Raw genomic sequence first — 23,104 nt, forward strand, 5'->3', positions numbered from 1 at the left:
GAAACCCCGTCTCTACTAAAAATACAAAAAATTAGCAGGGTGAGGTGGCGGGCGCCTGTAGTCCCAGCTACTCGGGAGGCTGAGGCAGGAGAATGGCGTGAACCCCGGGGGGCGGAGCCTGCAGTGAGCCGAAATCGCGCCACTGCTCTCCAGCCTGGGCGACAGCGAGACTCCGTCTCAAAAAAAAAAAAAAAAAAAATTCCCATTCAAAATAGGGAGTTATCATTCCGTTATCATTCCTTATTCTGTCAATCAATCAGAGAGTTTAAAAATTTTTGTTTCTTCTACAAGTAAGGCTGCTGCTAATAGTCTTGTTTCTATATTCTTATACACAGATAATTATAATTATGGAGTCAATTCCCAAGTGTGATATTGCTTGGGATATGCATGTTTAAAATTTTAATAAAAATCACAAATTGTTTGTCAGAAACCTATGACAATGCACATTTATTTCTACCAACAGCATAAGCTAATAGGTAAGCAGTAATATCTCATTTTGCTTTATTTTTTTTTTTGATCACACCAAGGCTCAGTGCCATTTAATATGCTATTTTGCCATTTTAGTTTCCTCTTCCACGAATTTCCATCATTGTTCATTTTCCTCTTTGGTTGTCTATTTTTAAATGAAAAAGCACCAGGATTTTAGAAATATCTTTTTTTTTGGTCAATCATATATGACCCAAATCAATATGACCAAAAAAATGAAAACATTTTTTCCTTATCTATATTTTTAGATTATTTGTTTATACCAGAATTTGAAATTTTTCTCCATGCTCAGAATTTCATTTTAAATATGTTCGTGATATTATTGAAGTCACCCCCCCCCACTTTATTTGTTTTCATATATCATGAGAAGTCAAAGAATCAAAGCAATATATTCTCACAGCCATGCACATTTTCTCCCTGTCTTCAGTCCTGTGTCTGTCACTCTCATAATCCTGTTTCAGCACCTATGAAGGCACTTCTGTGGAATACTTGATTACAGACCCAGCCAATACTTTCTACACTGGAATACATATATATATATATATATATATACAATCACTTAACTATATGAACCACTTGCCCCATAGTGTATATATATATATATATATATATATATATATATATATATATATATATACAATCACTTAACTATATGAACCACTTGCCCCATAGTAAATTTTCTTTTTTCATAGTGCATGATGCAGAAGGCTCCCACATGCCACTCCCATCCCATGGAGGACTTGCCACTCTATGACAACACTGGCAGAGCCCACCTAATGGCTCCCACTCTACCTGCTCCCCGAACCTGGGAGGAAGGCGGGTGGGAGCTGGATGTCAGCTTCTGTGTCACTAGCAGGATTTGATGACCCTGCTGTGAGATGGGCATGTAGAACTCCATTTTCTTTTTCTGGATCTCACACAATCAGCATCAGTGTAAAAGCCGCAGAGCACCCAGCAACAGGTAGTGTCCCATGATGATGTTATCTTACGGACATTCTGAAAACTTTCTTGACCCTGAGTAACTCCTTCAGCATTTTCTTTTCTTTTCTTTTGACAGAGTTTTGCTCTTGTCGCCTAGGCTGCTGTGCAGTGGCAAGATTTCTGCTCACTGCAACCTCCGCCTCCCAGGCTCCAGCGATTCTCTTGCCTCAGCCTCCTGAGTAGCTGGGATTACAGCCACCTGCCACCATGCCTGGCAAATTTTTGTATTTTTAGTAGAGATGGGGTTTCACCATGTTGACCAGGCTGGTCTCAAACTCCTGACCTCAGGTCATCCACCCGTCTTGACCTCCCAAAGTGCTGGGATTACAGGGATAAGCCACTGCGCCACCCCCCACCCCGCTTTAGCATTTTTGACAAAACAATCAGGTTACCCACATTTACATGGCCCTTCTTAATTGGCGAAGCTCTTTCATTAACATCATCCCATTTAATCTTGGTTAAGCTGTAATGGATTGGTTGAGTAATTTTTTCAAAACAAAGGATGAACAAGCTCAGAGAGCCTGAGAGACTTACTGAAGATCACACAGTAAATGATAAACTATTTTACTTTATGTCTAAGGTCTTTCATAATATGAAATAGAATGTAGATATTGCAACAATAGCATTTTTGGAGACAGCTACCTCCTTTACCAGGAATAATCTTTGCATGTCACATTTAGAGATAAAGCTCAAAATGCAAATCCTTCCCCTGAGAGTGGGAAAGCATTAACAAATGAGAGTGGGAAAAGCATTAACAAAGCATTAACACAGGTCTTTACATATTCAAAATATTAAACTAATGCTAGGATTATAGACTTGATTTTAAGACATGGTAGTTAATAGAAAAGTTCTAGATTGAAAACAATTTTGCAAAAATATACATTTGTATATGTGTATATATGTATGTGTATATATATATCTACTAGGAAAATATATTGCTTAAGGTGTTTGTGCCATTTCTTAGTTACCAATTTTACATTCTGCATTCACAGCATTTGCCATCCCATCTCTACACTTAAAGCCACCATATTACTTTTAATTACTTTATACACATTTTCAGTCATCATCTAAATAATCATTTATAGCCACAAACTAATACTGTTTAGTCAATGAAGCACTTTCATCAGCAAAAATTACAGATTTTTTGAACATGATTCTGGGAATAGTTCAGTTTTTACAATTAGTAATTGAGGCTTTGTCATATGAAGCAAGAAATCTGCTATTATTTTAAAAAATCAATTGTATATCGACCATAAAGAAATAGTATAAAAGTCATAAAAACACTGCCATTTACTGTAGTAAAATGTGGGGCATTTTATTTGAGTTCCTAAGAAATTTCCTGTATTTAGAACTCTTGGACCTTCACTACTTGTAAATGTGAGTCTATCCTTTACCTTACCCTAGCTTTTACCCCAGGGATTTGGTACATTTTTATTAGAAAAAGGAAAATGTCGACAGTGAAAACTGAGACAGAGTTAGAAGACTTCAATCACAATGGCCCAGCATGTGTATGTTCAGGGCAAGTAAAAGGGTCCCCTCCACTGGGATTCGATGACTAAAGATTATGAAGATACCAAAAATGCAAGAAGTCACAGGAATATTTTTCCTCAATGGCAAAGGTGACACAGTAGAATGGTTAAGAAGGAAGGTTTGTTGGCTTCAATTCCCCAGCTGATGTTCAACACTTTATTTACTTCTCACTTGAATTTTAAATTTTCCTGAAAAATAATTTCCCATCAATTTCCATTTCTTTGGAAAGCCCCCATGTGTAATTTATTGATAACATCTCTGAAGAGCTGAATTAATGATATTTCCTAGCTGTTGCTCCAGATCTTGTAGGGTAGAGGAGGCTGAAGACTGCTACAGGGGAAGGCATCTCTATTGCCTCAAAACGTCAGGACGGTACGGATACTGCAATAGGAAAGAAGAGACATTGTGTTAACATTTAGACAACCCACATGCTTGTTGTGAGAGTCCAAGGAGCATCTGAGGTGTCTTAGTGAAAATCTGTCTGTGATCCCAGCTACCCTATTTCCATCCCCATACATTTGGTTCAAGAAAAAGGAAGTTCATCTTTTTTGGTTTTCTTTTCTTTTCTTTTTTTCTCCAATCTTAATCTCACTCACAACATCCTGAGTATGCCTGTCATTTCAATTCTACATTAATTCTACATTAGCATCTTCAAAAAATCATTTTTGTGTGCCCACGTTCCTGGTATAATAAGGAATATAAAACAACAGTGGATAATAACTTGCAGTAAGTTCTTACTATTTGTCACATTCTTCGTGCATTTTCTTAAACTTCAACCTAAACATCAACACTAAGAGGTAGGTTCCCATATTATGTCCATTTTAGAGATTATAAAAACTGAGACTTAGAAAGATTTGTAACTTGCTCTGGTAGCACATCTAGTATGGAGTGTTGGGATTCAAACCCAAATACAAATTTGCAAAAATTATAAGATGATGGATAACTTGCCTGAAAGAATTGATAATTTAACAAAGTTAAGACTATGCTGGAAGTTTAAAAGACCTTTGATACGGATGTTTAAGGATTTGTAGAAGTAGAGAATAAAGTTGATTTGTATTAATTCTAAGATAGTTCATTCTTGTGAAGATTACAAATGGAACATTTACACTAGAACTAATGCCCTTTCTATAAACCAACTTCTCATGAATACATATTTTTAGAAAATGATGGTCTTTGTGACTCTTTAATAATTTTTAACATATATATGTATATGCATATGCATATATGAGAAATATATATGCACATAATTCAGAGAATACAAGACAGCAGGAAGAAGAAAGTAAAAGAAATCCATAATCCCACAACCTAGAAATAATCATTCTCAATGTTTTCTTGAATTTCTATGAACTTTTTTCTAGAAATCTGTGCATGTTTTACTGTTTTTGATGACGAGTTAATGGGTGCAGCACACCAGCATGGCACATGTATACATATGTAACTAACCTGCACATTGTGCACATGTACCCTAAAACTTAAAGTATAATAATAATAAAATAAATATAAAAAAAGAAAATTTGAGACATTGCATATACAACATATACAATTTATATTCTTCATTAAATGAGTCTAAAATTACATCATGAGAATATCCCAATGAAGTCATTTCTTTTTGATGGTTTCATTTATTTCTAATAGATGACTGGAATTTATGAAATTATTTTCCTTGTGTTGAACTTTAGAATGTTTCTAAAGTTCTAACAAGTAAACATATATGCATGTTTGACTAGTTGATTATTTCTGTAGAATAGATTTCTAGAAATGGAATTGCTGGGGCAAAGGATTCAGTTATTTTTTAAAGGTTTCTGATATATATTACCAAATTGCTTTTCCAAAAGTATGTATCAATTACTACTGAAAGTACATGAAAGTGCCCAACTCACCTTATTCTTACCAATATTGAATATTATAATTTTTAATCTTTGCTTATTGATAGGATTAATTATATTTACATATGCATATTACTATATGACATTCTCATAAAGTGAATTTAGGCATGCTTCATGACTTCTTATGTTGCTCAACACTGTCCTCTGGTTTTGTTCATCTCTATATTTGCCATCATCTTTTCAATCCTATGATGATGATGATCCCAATGATGATGTCAATGGTAATAATAATGACTGATAACTAACCTTTGATGACTACTGTTTTCCATATGTACATGCACTCTTGAGGGGCGGTGTGGTTTAATAGAAAGTGAATCGATTTGCTAAAAACAAGATCTACTTTTGAATTCTGCCTCCCCTTCCTACCACTTGATGATTTTGGCAAAGTCATGTCTTCTCCGAGTCTCAGTTTCTGTTCTCTAAGATAGTGAGATTGAGACTGACACTGAGCATTGTTTGGGAATCACAGGAGATAATGCAGGTAAGACACTTAATAGAACAGCTGGTGCTCGGTGGGTGCTAGTTTCTTTCCTTCCTCAAGAATGTTGTCGGTTAAAGTACCTAGTATAATGATTTTGTGAGTGCCAAAGAAACACTATTTAAAGTTGAAAACCTCATGAAAGTAAGTGTGGGATAGCAGAAGAATCTAAGACTCTGGAGCTAGAAGGCAAAGGTTAGATATAACTGCCTGTTTCCAGTTGTGCCTCATGTAAATGCAGGTGACAAAATTCATTTTAATAGCTGGTTGTAAGTGTTAAATGTTAGAGGTAGGAAATAGAATTGGCTTATTTTTCTAAGCTTCAGAGAAAATGTAAGACAAACATTTAAAATAGTATTTACTACTCTTTTATGATAACTTTCAGTGGTAAAAAATTTTTTCTTAAACTACAAAAGAAAAAGAAAAAGAGAAAAACTAGTAATATCTACCTAGAAAACAATCCCAATGTAGTTCCACCTACTCCTGTAATGAAAATGTTGAGGATGTCCTGAAAATTATTTAAATATGCAGACACTTAGTGTCAGCTTTATATAGGTAGAAGGAAGAGGCTTCAAAGACACCATGTTATAATTATGGCTGTTTAAATAGACTTTTGTTTTTTTGTGGGGTTTTTTTTGGGCAAATGTGAGTGTTCTCTTTTCAGGAAGGCTGAGTGGCTCTGATCATTCAGATTTGCAGTAATCAACGTAATTTGACTCCAGCAGAATAGGAAATGCAAAGCAACTGTTTTCAACTTCTCACAGTATGATCCTACATACGCTCCATGCAAAGACTGAACTGGTAATGGAAAACCAAGGGACTCTATATTTTCTCATCTTTCCACCTTTTTCATTCTCTGCTAGACAATCCCCTATGGTAGAAAAAAAAGCAAAACAGAAAACTAACTTAAAATCTACCTTTTCCCAGAGTGAAGCAGGTCAAATCCTTCATTTATTTTTTCAAAAGGTAAAACATGGGTTATTAACGCATCCAGTGAAAACTTCTTAGCCATAAAATCAGCCACAAGTTTTGGGATACCTTCTTTACTCTTAAAGCCTGAAAAGAAGACAGTATCATTGTTGGATTCAGCTAGGGTAAGTAGGAGAATTGAAGAGAAGATTTTCCAAATAAATCAAAGTTTAGAAAAGGTGCTCCATTCCAGACTGCTATAACTGAGGATAAGAAGAGATACAGTACTTCAATATGCTTTTACAGTGTCTTGACTTAAAAAAAATCACAGATAAACGAAGGTTCTTAGTTATTTTGTCTCTCCCATAGAAATAATAGTACAGAAGTTTATGCCCAAGGTAGAGGAGCAAATTTATCAGTTGTCTAAATTTGGGTGTAGATATGAAATATTGTTGTAGATTTGCATGTTCTACTAAAAATTTCCATGCCTTACACAGTCACAAGTACAAAAACAGATGGAGATTAAAGGTCCTGGGTTATGGTGACAACAGAAAAAAGTCTATATTGGGACCTTCTGTCTGCATTAGTTCCATATCTAGTTGATTTGGAGACTGTAGATAGAAAAGGAATTTAAATTTATTTTTGATTTGTTTTCAAAATCTTGCCTTGTCAATTGTAAAAGGGCATATATATTGAGATTATATTGAGATTAATGAGATATATTGAGATTAATGAGAATTTGGCACTTGAGCCCAACTACATACCACCATAAACAGCCCCCTTCCAGGTGCGTCCAGTCAGTAGCAGCATAGGGTTTATTGAGAGGTTCTGGGAAGCAGGAGGTACCCCTACGATGACGCTTGTGCCACATGCCTCATGACAACATAACAGGGAAGCCATCTGGAATAAAGTGAATATTTAGCATCCTTAACGTGGAGTCGCATAGTTCCTACTCATAATGCACAATATCATGTAATAGGCTTAACTGGATTGTGAGTGTGTAGAGGGAAGAGATCATGTCTTTTGATCCTTCATTCCCCTTTTTTGCACGGGATAGTGCTGTGGATTCAGGAAATGCCCAGAAAATGGTTTTTTAATGAAAGAATGGATGAATAAATTGGAGTGTGCTTAATTCTTCCTAATAAAGGTATTTTGAACCCAGTACTTTCAACCAGATATTTTGACGGTGAACAAGATAAACAATTATATCACCGAAATTTGTCTCCTGTCCACTTGACGGTCTCCCTCTTAAGTGGATTCCTATTCTACTGTCCATTTCTCAAACGGACATGTTTTAAACATTGTTTTTTTACCTCCCCAAATATATATTGATTTTACATTAAAATACACTGATCATTTGGGAACCTCAAGAAACAGTTCAGAAAATGTTTTCCAGTCAGTTCTTGGAACATGTTCTGTAGTTAGAAAATGGTTAAAGATCCCCGTAGGAATATAATGATTAGTTCTTTGATTTTGGATTCTGACCTTTGGGAGACCAGACATCCTCAGAACATGTGGCTGTCAGACACTTGGTATCTTAAGATAAGGTACACTCCAGTTCCACATGAGAAAATGGATGAAAATATAGAAAAGGAGCATAAAGAGAAAAGCTGTAGCCCTGGAAAAAGTTGAATTCTCTTGACATTTTATTCCTCTGTGGCATCTGTCCTAGGTCAAGGCTGCCGAGAGCTTTGATCTTAGGGTGCCACTCCCTGTTACCCACACTGCTGGACCTTCTAGAAAACCTCAGCAATGGAAACTTGTTGGTTTCTGGAGACATTTTCAGTAGGATTCTAGAGAATTCTGGGTAGGTGAAATATAGCTAGAGATGTGTTTCCCATTGCAATTGATATTTGTAACTGTTTGGAAGAAATACCATGTAATAAGCCAAAGATGATGTAAGCACTGCAAGATTGGAAATAGTATTTCATATCAATAATGCCAACTGAGGCTGAGTGTGGTGGCTTGTGCCTATACTCTCAGCATTTTTGGAGGCTGAGGTAGGAGAATCACTTGAGCCCAGGAGGTTGAGGCTGCAGCGAGTTATAATTATGCCACTTCACTTCAGCCTTGGTGACAGAGTGAGACCCTGTCTCAAAAAAAAGAAAAAAAAGTCAGCTGACATTTATTGGGAGCTTACCATATGACAGGCGGCACTGTGCTAAGTATATCACATGCGTTGTCTCATGTAATCTATAAGCAATGCTATGAGATACGTAGCTTTTAAATTCTGGGGGTTGGTAAAGTCTGTTGACTTTTCTTTTTTTTCTTTTTTCTTTTTTTTTTTTGAGACAGAGTTTCACTATGTCACCCAGGCTGGAGTGCAATGGCGCGATCTTGGCTCACTGCAACCTCCGCCTCCTGGGTTCAAGTGATTCTCTTGCCTCAGCCTCCGGAGTAGCTGGGATTACAGGTATGCACTACACCACCATACCTGGCTAATTTTTGTATTTTTAGTAGAGACTGCTGACTTTTCAAAGTATTCAGTCCAACTAATATTGGGTACTAGCTATGTGCCAGGCACTGTCCAGTTTCTGTGATAAAATACAGTGATGTCTTAAAGCAGTCAATTTCCTTAGGGCATATTTTTGTTAATAAAACAGCAGTTGGCCTAAAATTGCTCATTTCCTTTGGCCAAATACTAACATGTTAAAAATCTGAAATTTATTAAGAACATAGGCAAAATTGTTAAACCATTTTTGTTAAGAATGTAGGAGAAAAATAAAACATTCCAATTTGAGAACAGAATTTATATTATTTATGTTTACTTGAACTTATATTTTTTAACTAAAAATTAATAAAGTAAATCTATAATTGCTCAGTTAAGAAAAACAAACCCTTTTCTTTTCCTCTAGAGGAAATATGACTTGAGACAGGTTTGGGTAATTGATGGAAGAGAAGATTTCTCATAACAAAAATTAAACAAGCCACATAACAAACAGATGATGGGAAATTTCCATTCATCATTAAAAATATCCTTTATACATAAAACATATATTTTGCTGCCTAAATGCATCTTCCAGGTTGCAGAGGCAGAAATCTCAGGGCATGTCATGGTACATACCATGGTGTCAAGCCGACCGATGACTTCAAACGAAAAATCCACACCTCCATCAGTCATTTCCTTTAGCACTTCCTGAATGGGTTTCTTGTAGTCTTGAGGGTTGATGCATTCAGTGGCACCCAACTCTTTGGCCTTTGCAAATTTGTCCTTGTTGATGTCCACCGCAATGATTCTGGCTGCTCCAGCTGCTTTACAGCCCATAACAGCAGATAGGCCGACCCCTCCCAGGCCAAACACAGCACAGGTAGAGCCTGGGGTGACCTGTGTTTTCAGAAAATGCAAAAATAGATTAAGTGATGATTGTTAGAAAGTGCCTAAGCTTCATAAAGTGCCATGCGTAGGTGTTTATCAAGAACTACTCAGACTCTTTTGTCCAACCGTTTATCAAAACCTCTTTTGGCTTCAGTTGCTTTATTTTTAAATTCAAGGGGATGAACTAGTTGAGTGGTTTTCAAACTGATGCATATTAGATTCATCTGGGGAGCTTTACAAAATATCCCACAGTCCAGGTCACAGCCCATGTCAATTAAATGAGGAATCTCTGCAGGTGGACTCAGTCCCCAGGTGACTCCAATGGGAAGGTCAGGCTGGGAACCAGGGGACTGGATGATCTTTGAGATCCAGATGGCAGTGATTACAATCTTGAAGGGACTGTCAATTGCTGAAATCCCTTGATAGCCAGCTTCAGTAACTCATACATACACAACGGCAATATTTGGAAAACAAAATAAGTGGAAAAGGCTACTCCAGGAGACTGAAAAATATTCCACTTAAGCCCTCAGTAATTAACTCATTGGTTCATTTATGTTCGGTAGTTGTGACCAGTATATCCCTGCTTTAAAAATACACTAGCGAACAACACAGCAATGAAATGTTTGTCTATATTTCAATAACAAATACAATCTATTGTTATGAGTATCCTCATCTTCTGTTCTTGGGTAGGATCACTTTGACCATCTGCTAACACGTATGAGGCAACTGAACAAGGGGCTAAGTGCTAAAGTCACAGAAATTTGGAAAAGATGCCTTCTGAATTTTTTCTTTGTGGTTGGCTAGGGGCTATTTATTAAACCTAGTCTCCCATAGTCAGTCTTCATTGTGGGTAACATGCTTTCCTGTCCCAAGTAATCTCATCCTTATATTCCCTTAAGGGTGTCTATTCACTCATTCATTCACCAAATATTATTCATACTATGGGGGACAACACCATTTTCTACCTTACTTAGAAAAACACAAGACTTGTGACTGTGATTTAAAAACACTAATAATTATGTATTGCGAGCTAAGATTCAGCAGGAGATTTGAAAAAGATATTTTAGTCTCAGCTCTCATATTAAAAATATATTTTAGTCTCAGCACTGAGGCTTTGGGCAAATATCTTTATATATCTGAACCTCGGTTTCATAAAATAAAGCATACTACTAGATTTTCAGCCTACTCAGATGAGGAGCCTTTAAAGAATTTCTGCTTGAAATTTACCACTTCTGAAGTATATGTGTGTGTTCATGCCAGGGGAGTTAGTTTTAGCAGTGAAATCCCATAATGAGTGAATTATGCATCACTGAGTCTTTATTACTTTCCGTCTAAGAATCCACAGAGTGGGTGAGCCTTGGTTTGGAGGTGCATCAGGTAAGGTTTTGGACTCTACTGTTGATCCTATTTCTGGGAGGAGAGGATCCACAGACTAGATGGTCCTCAAGGGCAAACGCTTCATTTCATTTACTTTTGCTGTCAGAGCCTAGCAGAACCTATGGTGCCTGAGGCATTTATAGGTGCTCTCTAATCGTTGAATGAATTACTAAATGAATTCTTAGGTCTAAAATTTCATGATCCCATAAACAGCAAATTCAGAAGAAAAATTATTGTAAATGACATCTTTATTCGTAACAACTTTTTATCTGCAATAAATTGGTGAAATTTCTAGCATGTGTACTCAATTCTTTCTGGGCCATTTTTCTACTCATAATCGACACTTTAAATCTACAAAAATAATTTCTGATTCTTGCAAGAAATTGCTTCCCTTTTGGTTTCCGACAGTCTGCATGTAAGCAGTTTTATCACCCATTGTCATTCTCACCTTGGCAACGTTAACTGCAGACCCATAACCAGTCGAGAATCCACAGCCAATGAGGCAGACTTTCTCCAGGGGCGAGGCTGCATCAATTTTGGCCACTGCATTCTCATCCACCACCGTGTACTGGGAGAAGGTGCTGGTGCCAAGGAAGTGGTGAATGGGCTTCCCCCTGCAGGTGAACCTCCTGGTGCCATCCTGCAGGGTCCCCCGAGGATTGCCTAGACTGGGCAGTGCAATACACAGACACACAAAGGCATGAGACAGGAGCATAAGTAATGTGCAAACTCAAAGTCTGTGCAAAGAGAGCATCAGAAACCTACTCATTTTTCAAGCAGTAGTTGCTCTCCGGGTTTTTACAAACTCTGCATTTTCCACACTGAGGAGTAAAGAGCGGGATGACTTTATCACCTGGAGAGGAATAAAACAAGTTCTTCTTAAATTTCTATGCAGTAATTAATAGAGCAAAGACTTAAAGCTCACATGTATTGATTAGAAGCATGTTTCTTTAAAAGTCTTTAAGGAATAGAGTTCAATAATAACTATGTCATCTTTCAATGCCTGCCACAGCATTGTTTTCAGTTTGAGTTTATAAGTGCCTGAGGATTCCTACTGAGAAATCGCAAATGTGGGAGACCACACAGATTAAAAAAATTACTTCCACTGTACTAATAGTTAACTTTTACACAGTGTACTGATTTCTCCTGGAGGCTTTGCAAACATCTTTTTATTTAAACTTTAACTAATTAAATCTTAAATATTCTTACTATAAGTATAAATATAAATTTTAGTTGAAAGTGATCTATTATAGTGCCTGTAGATATTGGGATGATCTGGTATTTTGTAAAAGATTGATTTACAATAAATATGAGAATTTTTAACCAATTCTTGACTTTTCAAAGTGACTATGCTTATCTTTTTTTATGAAATGAATGCTTTAAAAAATCCTAGGTCTTTTTTTTTTGAGAAAAACAAAAATGGGACAAAGAAGAATTCCAGAAATTTCTCTGAAAACTTCAGCTCTTCACAACAAGTTAGGCACTTTCTTTTAGGATAAGAATGGACTTAACAAATATTTTTAGCTGATAATTTGCGAATTATCTACTTTTCCTGTTATGGTGGAGGGAGTAGGGGTAAAAAGTAAGGCTGTCATTTTGTTGTTAATTTATTTCTAACTAAAGAAAATAGAGCTAAAACATACTTTGGATAGTTTATTTTATTATTTTCTGTTCACAGTTTAAATTGGTATTTGGTAAGGGGGCAGGGTGAATCTACAGGCTAAAGCAACTTTTTAAAATTAAACATAATTTTTATTTCTAATCACCTATGCTATACATTCCACATGATCAAGAAAAATTGTTGGTGCATTAACATTTTATAGGTAAAGTTTATGTGAAAATGATGGTATGGCAATGTCCTAGTTATTAACCCTTTACTTCTAAAAGTATTTACATTAATACATAAGTTTAGGGTAAAATAAATATTGAAGATGAAATAATTAGTAATCTGTAACCAGTTGCATTTAAGCATGGCTGAAGGTAACAAGGCAGACATTGTTGATGGTGGGATGGTTCCTTCTACGTTTCTTTCATTTCCTTTCACCTAGCCTGTTTCATTGATTCCATGCTCAGGAAGAGACACCATGTTGGAAGAGGAAATTGGTGAAGGAGCTGCATAGGTCACCTAAGAAAAGGTCATGTTTATTCATCCGTAGCCATGTAGCCTCCATTTTGTGAACTCAGCACAGAACAGTTTCCACATTTACTTTTTTTCCCTCCTCCCGTTTCTACTTCTATCTGGGCCCTGACAGAAGACAGTGTTCAGCCAACACTAACACAGAATTACTGGACTATGAATGCCACACTGGTAGGCACTGTGTCTCTTTTGATCCTCACATATCTCCAGGCTCTAACCTGGTGCCTGGCTTCTAGTAGATACTCGGTACATAATGGTTGAAGGGTACAATACATGAGTGCCTGAATGCATACATGCTTGGGTCAGGCAGGCAGAGAGGGAAAGAGGAAACTCCTGAAGTCCTGGCTGCGCGGTGACCTTGTGCAAGCACTTTCGTCTCTCATTGCCTTGGTTTCCTTATCCAGGCTGGGAAATCCTGGATGGTGAACCACACGTGTTCCCTGAGTGTGAATCCTGTACCTGGTTTGACTGTAGTCACCCCTTCTCCAACACTCTCCACGATGCCGGCTGCCTCATGGCCTAAAATCACAGGAAGGGGGGTCACCAGGTTGCCACTAACCACGTGGTCATCTGTGTGACAGATTCCTACAGCCACCATCTACAGAATAAAGAGAAGCTGTTCAGATTCAGAAAAGATTGTAACTAGATGAATTTAACATACCCAAATTCCTGAAATTGTGTTTCTAAAATGTATTTGAGGGTTTTGCTACTAATCCCTACTATTCCTAAATATGAAAGATTCAGTTTATCCCCAAGGTTATTCAGTCTAAAGCCCTTCTCTACCTTCCCTTCTTGAATTAAACAATTTAGAATAATCTGTGAAATAATTGATTCTGAAATATTTAAGTCTTATGTAAGAATGCACGCTTTAAAAAATAGAAGTAGAAATAGCAAAGTAACACATGGAAAATATCTAATATTAATTGATTTTGAAGTCTTGATATATATCCTTTGGAATTTTTTTCTGTACAAACATAAATTCTTTTGTATTTTACTGGAATTATACTGTATGTACTCTTTGATCATTTTTTAAAAATTTAAAATTTATATTTATACCTTTCCTTGACAACAAATGTAATTTTATCTTCTGGGTGATCATATAAGATATGCCTCTTAGTGGATTTTTGGATGTTTCCATTTTTAATGTTCTCTGAGTTTTTTAAATGTAAAATGAAATATAAATGGAAAAATATTTCACCTTAATGCGAACTTCATAAGCCTTAGGAGGTGCAACCTCCACATCCTCAATGGAAAAGGGTTTCTTTACCTCCCATAGCACAGCTGCTTTGCATTTGATTACCTAGAAAATCAAACAGAGAGATGGTGACAGTGTTTTCCCACTCTTGAAGTCATAAGTTGTGTCTTTTCATCTTTGTACATGTAATATTGCGTCCCATGTCTGGTACCTAACAAGTGCTCCATGGAAATGAAGTACTCTGGTTTATAAAGAGAATAAAAGTATCTTTTAAAAAGCAATAACATAAGGAAAGATAAACAAAGTATAATAAGACATTGAGAAAAATGGAATATATTTATTTAGGCCATTCTTATGTTGTTGTTTTTTCTCTGAAGGTGTTTATTCCTGGTATTTCCTAATGCCGTCCTGAAAATGCTCGTCTACCCACAACTATTAGCTGATATATGAAGTTAGAAGTCACCTTTATTTTGCTGACAGAGTCAGTGTCTGTCTACATAAAATACACTGCTTTATTGCTCAATTTTCTGCTTAGGCCAAAAGGATCTGACTCTATAAGAGCAATTATACATTTACCTTCCTGCGCACAATGACATTTCTTTCTCTCCCTATTTGCTTATTGTCCTCTTTTAATTTTCTCTCTCCACTACTTCTGTGTGCTACTTGTTTCCTACTCATTTGAAACTTAGCTTTGGCAGCCTGTTTTGTAATCTAATTTATGTGTAGAGACTTCTTTCAGCTTAGATTTGAGCCAAATATTATAGAGATTAGAGTTGGTGGTGTGTGTGTGTGCACGTGTGTGTGTGTGTATACACTCAGACCCACGCATGTATATTTTAAAACTGGAGAAACAGTGTGCTTGGATTTCTGTTTAGCAGAGCTTATCCATAGATGTTCTTAAAAATAAAGTTCAGCATATATTTCTAGTGCTTGGCAGTGTACTGTAAAACCCATCTTCGTTGTGGTAAAGCATGTATAATTCGCAGAGCCCTTTCTAGAAAGAACCAACATAATTGCAAATATAATTTAAAAATTCAATTGAGATTTATTTTTCTGCCAATTCATTTTCATTATTTATTTGTCAAAATTTTCAACTTTGTAGGATGTTCAACATGGTCAATGCCAAAATAAATACCAGAATACTTAGACAGAAGGTACTAATAGTAGGAAGATTCTTATTATGAGGTGCTTATGATGTGACAGGCACATTGTGACCTGTGCTGGGTAAATTACATGCATTATTTTTATCTTAAAATTTATTCATTGATTAATTTTTAATTTCAATAGTTTTTGGGGTGCAGATGGTTTTTGGTTACACGGATAAGTTCTTTAGTGGTGATTTCTGATATTTTGGTGCACCCCTCACACAAGCAGTGTAGACTGAACCCAATATGTAGTCTTTTATGTCTTATTCCTCCTACTGCCCTTTTCCCTCAGTCCCCAAAGTCCATTATATCATTCTCATCCTTTGTGTCCTCATAGTTTAGCTACCACTTTTAAGTGAGAACATTGGATATTTGGTGTTCCATTCATGAGTTACTTTACTTAGAATAACGTCCTCTAGCTCCATCAACCAGTCTTATTGATATGAGCCTGTTTGTCACACAATGCAGAGAGAAGCCTCAGAACCTTTAAATTGAATTATCATAGTGAGATATTTTACAGTGTGGTACACTCCTAACACAAAAAAAGGACTGGACATAGTTGCACAGGTTTATGTAATTAAACAATTAAAAAAATCAATTGATTATATTGAATGACCACATGCACCTGTAAACACATTGAGCAAATAAGTACAAATTTATAGAAGAAAAAACCAAATATCTGTATTCCTAGTGCTAAGTGATTCAAATTGTATTATTATTCAAATTGTATCATTGATTTTCTGTAAAACCATATTAACTTTTAAATGGGGAAGATACTGTTCCATAGGATTTTTGTGGAAATTCCCTGAATTGTATCATAATGGACCCCTTTTAATCAGAATTTGCATGTTGATGTCTTGCTTAACCTTGATGATTCTAATGCTGTGAAATCAATGAGTATTTTGTAAGATATTTTATAGTAAGGTTAAAGGATATTTCAGTCTTCTGAGTCAAATTCCTCTCATCAAACTTCTGTCAGACAACTTTCCTGTGTTCATAAAAAATTTGAATAAAAATAATAACACATTTGAATTATGGTTTCTTATTATAAAGATAACTTGCCATTAAAGACTTTTCTAACTTTAGATTTACAAATCAGTCATGATTAGCTTGGAATAAACTATCATTTTACTGTAAATTTATTTAATGTAGGAAATAAAGACTAATAGACACAGGTTCTATACATTCCTGTTAAAGGTACTTAAGAATAGCTTATTTCCACTGCAGTTCAGTATACATTACATATTGAGGTGTATATTGCATATCATATTTCAGCATATCATTTCTAATTTAGATATGAATTTTAAATTATTCATCAAATACTGTATTCCTTTCTTTGTTATATTGATGAGAATATATTACCAACAGTAATATATTTTTTGCTTACTTTTCCTGCTGTGCTCATGTCGTTTCTGTCTTCTCTGCCCACCAGCAGACTGTGAGTCTTTGTGGATTTCTTCTCTGCTTGAGTGCATAAAGCAGATATATTGCACAGATATTTATTTTGTTTGCTTGTGTAACATCCAATTCCAATTCCACACGTGATCTATGTCTTTAAGCCACACCCACTGGATTATTCCCAGACTGTCAAAACAGATAAAAGGGTACTGAACCAGCAATCAAAATATTGACTTCCAAATTCTAGATAAGATTTTGTTTTCATTAGTTTAAATATTAAGTTAAAGTGATAAATTGTAATCACTTTCTCTTTTCCTCACTTCCCACCCCCCCCCGGCCTCTGGAATTCCTTGTTTCTCTTCTTTCAATCCCACATAGGTCGTTCTGCCTTGTATTCCCTTTGTCTGCACTAAGCTGCAACTTTGAATGCACATGGGGTGGCGAGGAAGGAAGAAGAGTAAGAAAACAGGAAAAACGAAGTAGGATAGAGAGAGCAGCCTCTTTGTCTTTACAGCAGAGAATCAGACACCCAATTAGTCACAGCAAAGGGGATCACTGTGCCTGGCAATTCTGCTCCACTCAAAACTAGTATGTATGGACTGAACACCTCCCTGTGTCAGGCACTAAGCTGGGTCCAGTGGAGTAGCAGTGATGAATAAGACATGACCTCTGCCTGTGCCAAGAGGCAGTATGGGGCAGCGGTGATGGCATGGCTTGTGGGACCAGGCCAACCCAGTTCCTTACTTGTTCTGTGTACTTGGACTTATTATTTCACTGAATTTTTTTTGCCTTAATTTCCTTATCTGTGAGATGAAGATGAATAATGGCGTCATTTTAAAGGACTGTTTGTGAATAAATGAAATAATCCTTGTAAAGCACTCATCATGGAGTTTTGCAGATAGGAGCACCCTCCTAAATGTTAGCTACAATTATTATTCATGAAAGAAAGCTCACAGTTTATAGTGAAAAGACACGCAGGAAACCAAGTCTACATATCAGCCTGGCTGGGAAGTGCCCTATCACAGGGGTCAGTTAATGCTTTGGGAACAGAGACAGAGTTGCTATTCAGAATGAAGGACTCAGGGGAGGCATTGTAGAGGAACAGGCATTTGTGGCAGATTTTAAATAATTGTGAGAAATGGAGCAAAATCCTCACTGGATCATTTCCATTACCCTTTGATCAATGTAGCTAGTATCCTCATGGCTTTCCAAGCATAGGAGTTTGATTTTTCTTTTATCCACACTTGGAGGCGTCATAAAACTATACAGGCAACTATTTAATTAGATATAGTCTGTCAATATGAACATGTTAGCATAGAGGACATATTTCTCTAAAATTGCCAAGGGAACATTTCAGTAAGCTTTAATTATGTAGGCACTGAGACTCACACCAAGACTGAGAAACATTCACCCAATAGAAAGCAAAGGAGGTCCTATGATTTTAGTTGCTTCTAGTTTGGAAAGGTATGACGGAAAGAAGATAGCCCCAGATAACCTGGCTTTAGCCTTCTCATCCAACTATTCCTCACCATTCTCCAATACAGGGCCTATGCTCTTTAGAAGCATGTATCTCTGTGGTCCTCCAAAGAGGAATCCATTCCTCATTCAAGCTCTTGCTCATCATGCTTTTTCTCTTCTTTTCTGTCCCTCTGGCCCATTCAAATCCTCCCCAAACTTTGAGATCTAGGACAAGGTCGCCCTTGTGGAGATATGTTAACGCCATCTCACAGTCATGCTTCACTTCTTTCCATCCCTGTCATACTAGCATCCCTCCTGTGGTTTTAGGGCCCATTCTCTTTTGTGGCCTTTATATTTAGTGTAGAGATCAGTCTCCTAAGTTCTACTGGAAATTTCTGGTCAGAGATGTTCTTGAATTTCATTTAAATCTTCAACTGTACCTAGTTTCATGTGTACAATAGGTGTTTAATGAAAGATTGTTGAATTCTTGTGCTCCTTTATGTTAGGACACGCACTGTTCTATGAGCAGTCCCATAATCCAGAAGATCTGGTGTCTCCTCTTTAAGGGATTACAGATTAGCAGTGGGATTGGCTGTGGTCAGGTAGAGAAGACAGAGAACCCTCCTGTGAAGCAGGAAGTGGTGAGTGCCAGGAGAAAGTTCAACGTGGAATCAAAAGAGGAAGACCCTACTCCGTCTTTTCATTGTGAATTCTCAGCTCTTAACTCAATGAGTGGCACAGGGTGAGTGCTCAGATATTTGTTGACTAAATTAAATGAATGACATCTAATTTGAGAATGAGGAAGCCTTGAAAGAAAGATATTTTATTAAGATTTATTAAGAAAGATGAGTTGCAGTTGAGAGGTATAGATGCAGTCAGCATATGGACAAAGAATCTTGAAAACATTTTTCTCCCCTAATACCCCCTTTTATACATTTTTCTGTTTAATCCTCTCTCACACCTGTAGACATAGCATTTCAGGGAATTATAGCCACTACCACCTTGTTTTCAAGGCCCTAATGAATTTGGAAATGTGATATCCACTTATGAGCTTGCATCACTTTGTGAACACATGGCTCCATGAACTGCCAAAAGAACTTTGGCACAAACTTCATAGAGTCAAGAGATCTTTCTTAATACCATCTGGCAACTACTCTGTGCTTACTCTTTGCCCCACCTTCTAAAAGTTTAAATGGAGGGGAAGAGCAGTTGTCACATGATTGAGTGTCAGTGTTCTAGTATCAGAGGGCCATGGCAGGCCTGTAGCAACATCTGGAATGTCCAAAGGTAACCCTGTCACTCTCTAGGGGTCACAGGGCATCACTTTCCTCTGTTTCTCTCTCTGTGTGTGTCTCTGTAAGCCAGCCCGATTCTATATTACATTTCCACCAACTACTATATTATAAATGCAGCTTATCCAGAGAGATGATATGCTTGCTTCAGTTTGGGTCAGCGATCCCCGGTGTGCTAGGCAGAATAATGGCCCTCAAAGAGGTCCACTCCTAATCCCTGGAATCTAGGAATATATTGCTTTACATGGAAAAAAACGAATTTTGTAGGTGTGATTCCGTTAAAGGTCTTGAGATGGGAAGACTAGCTTGGATTATCCAGGTGAACCTAATCTAATCTTATGGCTTCTTAAAATTGGAGAGCTTTTCCAGGTTGTGGTCAAAGAGGGAGATGTGTCTACCCACAGCCTGTAGATGGCCATGTTTGCAAGAAGGGTGTGTTAATTTTCTATTGCTGATGTAACAAATTACCACAAGCTCTCTTGGAAGGTTAGTGGAAGGCAAGGACTGGCATCTCTAATATAATTATGCATGTAATGATGAGTAGTGCAGAGATGTGACTCCAAAGCCTCGAGAAGGACAGACTAGCATCTCTGTAAGAGATCCAACTGTCTCCTTTTCCCCATGGGCCAATAATTTACCTGGATCTAAGAAATAATATTGTAACTGGCAGAAAGTACCTTCAGTACAAATTCTTCATTTTTGGGGTTAAATCATTTGGCAAAATGGTAAGATTAATATTATTGTAAAGATGATTGCTAGAAAAAAATTGTAACATTTCAAGTATGTGCATAAATAACAGACTTTAAAGCATTTTTGGGGATGAGATGCAAAATGAAGAGTGGGAGAGGGACTTTAGTAGCAATAAATAGAACTTGAGAATGGAATAGTTACATAAATAATCTATAGAATATTACAATAAGTAGAGTAAATTTTAAGTTCCTAGAGGAATTTTTGAAAATACCCACATTCAAAACCATGAATTCTTACTCAATTAGCATTTCATTTTGATTTTGGTACTGAAGCCAAAGATGTTGAGGGAACTGAAATGCTTGCTGGACTGGCTGTGGCTGTGGAGCCTGGAATTCTTCCATGAAGAGCGTGTGTGAGAGAACAAAATGTTTGTTTACATTCCTCCTGTGAAGGCAGTTGGGAAATAATCTAAGAAGCCCAATCCAAAAACAGAGATGTTCCATCCAGCCTTCTCTGTGATAGCCAAACTGCAAACGATCTGAATGCTCCACGAATGATTTACTGATGTATTTTAAATGAGTTATTGATGCATTTTAAGTTATTCTGATGATGTGCTTGGCATATGCTTAAAAGTACATTTACTGAGATGATGTGGGAATACCAAGTGTTTATTAAAACAATACAAAGTAATACAAATGGTATGGTTGTCACAATATAAAAATATCTAAAAGCTAAAGAGTTCTTTAATGGTGGAGAATTTTTTCCTTTTGAAAATTAAAAATATATTTTGTTGTAAAAATTACAACTGATTAGTATCAGTATGTAACATCCATGGAGTGCTGACTTTGCTAATCTCTGTGCACACATTGCCTTACTTATAGCAATGTTTAGCATTAACTTATCAGGTAGATACCATTGCCATGCACATTTTACAGATGAAGACACTGAGGTTTAGAGAGATTGTATAAATTTCCCAATGTAACACATCTAGTGGTGGAGCCAGGATCCCAGGAAGCCTAACTCGAGTTTAATAACCTAAATATCAATAAAATAGCTAATATCCTTGTCACTGTAAGTATGTGCCACTTACTGTTCTAAATGCTTTACAATTAACAGATCATGTAATCCTCACAATAATACTATTAGGCAGATTCTACTGTTATTACCATTTTATACAAAATGGTATAATACATACAAAATATGTATTTTGTATGTCTTCGTCAGCCTTAAAGCCACTTTTGAATTTTTTAGCATATTTTCCCAGAACATGTCAATTTTATTTCCATTTAAATTGCTTGAGATATGAGATGATGACATAGTCCCTGAAAATTTTATTCCCAGCTGTGTATCTCCCTGGAGTCTTTGACTTACTTCCATGTGGGCAGGAGGTGCTTTGCATCAGGCCACACCTGCCATCCTGGAGCCTCCTCACCCTCATCCTGGGGAATCCCTTCCCTCTTCTCAGGGTGAGAGCATCAGCTTCTCAGATACCACATCTTTCTTTGAATTAATTTATCAGTTTTGGGGCACTTCATTAGTAATCTTCTGGAGAAAAAGTTACACCAAGGGGTGAATTTATTGAGATCTTTTCTTTCTATTGGATTTCTACTGTGCTGTGATGAGTTTTAATTCTCAAGAGTTTTTTATGGCAACATATTCTTTTTTCATGTATGTAATATCTTTTTACAAATATTAATAACAGCTTTTAAAAAAATTTTGAATTTTTTTATTTCATGGATTATTTCTTCCAACTTCTTTTTTCTTTGCCTGTTTCTATCTTTCCTATTACAAAGCTAGAATCACTCCACATTTCTGATGATCTCGGTTGTCTTCTGTTGCAGGATGGGGCACTAATGAGCTATTGGGAAGCTCTGAATACAAGGGTGGCATCTGTGTCATGTGAGATTTGCTACAGAACTATCTGGCGGGATTAATTGCTGGGGGATATAATGTCAGTAAGAGTAGGTATTTTCTCTTGGGCTGGTCAGATTTTTCAAAGGATGATTTTGGAAGTTTCCATGTAGAAGACACATGCCCAGCTGCCAGCACTCTGGGGCCCAAGAGGGCAATTGAAAATTCAAATATAAGCCACTTGGGAGAAAAAAGGCAAAACCCAGGACTACCCAGGTAATTCCAAAAGCTTGTTCGCATTAATCTTGCAAGACTATAGCCAAAAATCTATTGGACCTTATAATAATCTCATCTTTAATAGTTCTAAAAGTTTTCTATTTAGGCCTGCGAGAATTTTCTTATATCCAGACTTAAATGTCTGCCATTGATAATCTTAGATTCCTGAATGATCCAGTAAGAAAACATTTCTATGACTCTATTACTCCATAATGCATAACATCTTCTTAAGGCTTTAGAGGTGACCGAGACAGTTTATATTATTTTGACAATTATTTGGTCAGACTTTTTTTAAATAATAAAAATTACAATTACAATACCTTTATTTTACAATTACATGTACATGTTGGCAGCTGGAGTCTTTCTTTATAGTTTCTTTATAAGTTAAAAAAGTAATAAAATTATAAATCTCATCCTAACTAGTAAAACCAAACAGTTATGGTTAAAAAGTTAACTTTAGTTCTTCAACTCTTTTCAGATCCTTGTTTCTGAGATGAACAGCCTGTTCTGTATATTTCTATATCTTTCTCTATGCTCATACAAACCTATATATAATTACAAATTTTAATTTGTTTTGTCTTTCACAAAAATTGGATCATATAGTACACATTACTGTGTAACTTGCTTTTTATACTTAGTGATGCATTATATTAATCCCTCCGGATTTTAAGATATAATTTTTTTTGACATGAGGACTTG

At 36.4% G+C, this 23,104-nt stretch overlaps 1 protein-coding gene across 2 annotated transcripts, besides 13 other annotated features; it reads right to left on the reverse strand.

The window, feature by feature from the left end:
- ADH1B (alcohol dehydrogenase 1B (class I), beta polypeptide) lies at positions 485–16,915 on the reverse strand. Of its 2 annotated transcripts, NM_001286650.2 has the most exons (10): positions 16,828–16,915; positions 16,307–16,428; positions 14,299–14,400; positions 13,560–13,698; positions 11,729–11,816; positions 11,412–11,631; positions 9,335–9,595; positions 7,035–7,170; positions 6,279–6,417; positions 485–3,378 (listed from the first exon to the last, which is right to left on the reverse strand). In NM_001286650.2, the coding sequence occupies exons 4-10, from the start codon at positions 13,696–13,698 to the stop codon at positions 3,354–3,356; spliced, it is 1,008 nt and encodes a 335-aa protein (NP_001273579.1). In that variant the 5' UTR covers positions 14,299–14,400; positions 16,307–16,428; positions 16,828–16,915; the 3' UTR covers positions 485–3,353. The 2 variants fall into 2 exon arrangements, with proteins under 2 accessions (NP_001273579.1, NP_000659.2); NM_000668.6 differs by lacking the exon at positions 16,307–16,428.
- Positions 5,870–6,371: an enhancer, noted in NCBI's record as "NANOG hESC enhancer chr4:100231513-100232014 (GRCh37/hg19 assembly coordinates)". NCBI's record gives its function as "activates a minimal SCP1, AML or CMV promoter by ChIP-STARR-seq in primed H9 embryonic stem cells {active_cell/tissue: H9 hESC(primed)}" and the evidence as "EXISTENCE:reporter gene assay evidence [ECO:0000049][PMID:30033119]".
- Positions 13,218–14,417: an enhancer, noted in NCBI's record as "P300/CBP strongly-dependent group 1 enhancer chr4:100238861-100240060 (GRCh37/hg19 assembly coordinates)". NCBI's record gives its function as "activates an origin of replication core promoter dependent on BRD2, BRD4, P300/CBP, MED14 and CDK7 cofactors, with strong dependence on P300/CBP, by STARR-seq in HCT116 cells {active_cell/tissue: HCT116}" and the evidence as "EXISTENCE:reporter gene assay evidence [ECO:0000049][PMID:35650434]".
- Positions 16,881–17,187: a promoter, noted in NCBI's record as "-272/+34 promoter". NCBI's record gives the evidence for it as "EXISTENCE:reporter gene assay evidence [ECO:0000049][PMID:2169444]".
- Positions 16,925–16,936: a protein binding site, noted in NCBI's record as "C/EBP footprint A". NCBI's record gives the evidence for it as "EXISTENCE:protein binding evidence [ECO:0000024][PMID:2169444]".
- Positions 16,937–16,944: a TATA box. NCBI's record gives the evidence for it as "COORDINATES:motif similarity evidence [ECO:0000028][PMID:2167445]".
- Positions 16,946–16,966: a protein binding site, noted in NCBI's record as "C/EBP footprint B". NCBI's record gives its function as "positive regulation of promoter activity" and the evidence as "EXISTENCE:protein binding evidence [ECO:0000024][PMID:2169444]".
- Positions 16,966–16,995: a protein binding site, noted in NCBI's record as "USF site; -150/-121; inhibited by DNA methylation". NCBI's record gives the evidence for it as "EXISTENCE:protein binding evidence [ECO:0000024][PMID:16737450]".
- Positions 16,988–17,023: a protein binding site, noted in NCBI's record as "G3T Sp1 site". NCBI's record gives the evidence for it as "EXISTENCE:protein binding evidence [ECO:0000024][PMID:1446829]".
- Positions 17,028–17,063: a protein binding site, noted in NCBI's record as "FXR site". NCBI's record gives the evidence for it as "EXISTENCE:protein binding evidence [ECO:0000024][PMID:23772048]".
- Positions 17,081–17,187: an enhancer, noted in NCBI's record as "Beta-GRE". NCBI's record gives its function as "mediates induction by dexamethasone and Nr3c1" and the evidence as "EXISTENCE:reporter gene assay evidence [ECO:0000049][PMID:2210383]".
- Positions 17,082–17,114: a protein binding site, noted in NCBI's record as "GRE-II". NCBI's record gives the evidence for it as "EXISTENCE:protein binding evidence [ECO:0000024][PMID:2210383]".
- Positions 17,120–17,139: a protein binding site, noted in NCBI's record as "GRE-I". NCBI's record gives the evidence for it as "EXISTENCE:protein binding evidence [ECO:0000024][PMID:2210383]".
- Positions 17,141–17,160: a protein binding site, noted in NCBI's record as "GRE-0". NCBI's record gives the evidence for it as "EXISTENCE:protein binding evidence [ECO:0000024][PMID:2210383]".

This window comes from Homo sapiens, chromosome 4 (assembly GCF_000001405.40).
Source record: "Homo sapiens chromosome 4, GRCh38.p14 Primary Assembly".
NCBI lineage: Eukaryota > Metazoa > Chordata > Mammalia > Primates > Hominidae > Homo > Homo sapiens.

What these genes read in the sequence shown, in the direction of transcription:
- ADH1B (NM_000668.6), bottom strand. An exon ending in GGTGACTACAGTCAAACCAG is followed by an intron (nt 11,817 to 13,559) that starts GTACAGGATTCA and finishes ATTCCTCTCCAG; the next exon opens with GTGATAAAGTCATCCCGCTC. An exon ending in TCGGTCGGCTTGACACCATG is followed by an intron (nt 7,171 to 9,334) that starts GTATGTACCATG and finishes ACTTTATTCCAG; the next exon opens with ATGGCTTCCCTGTTATGTTG.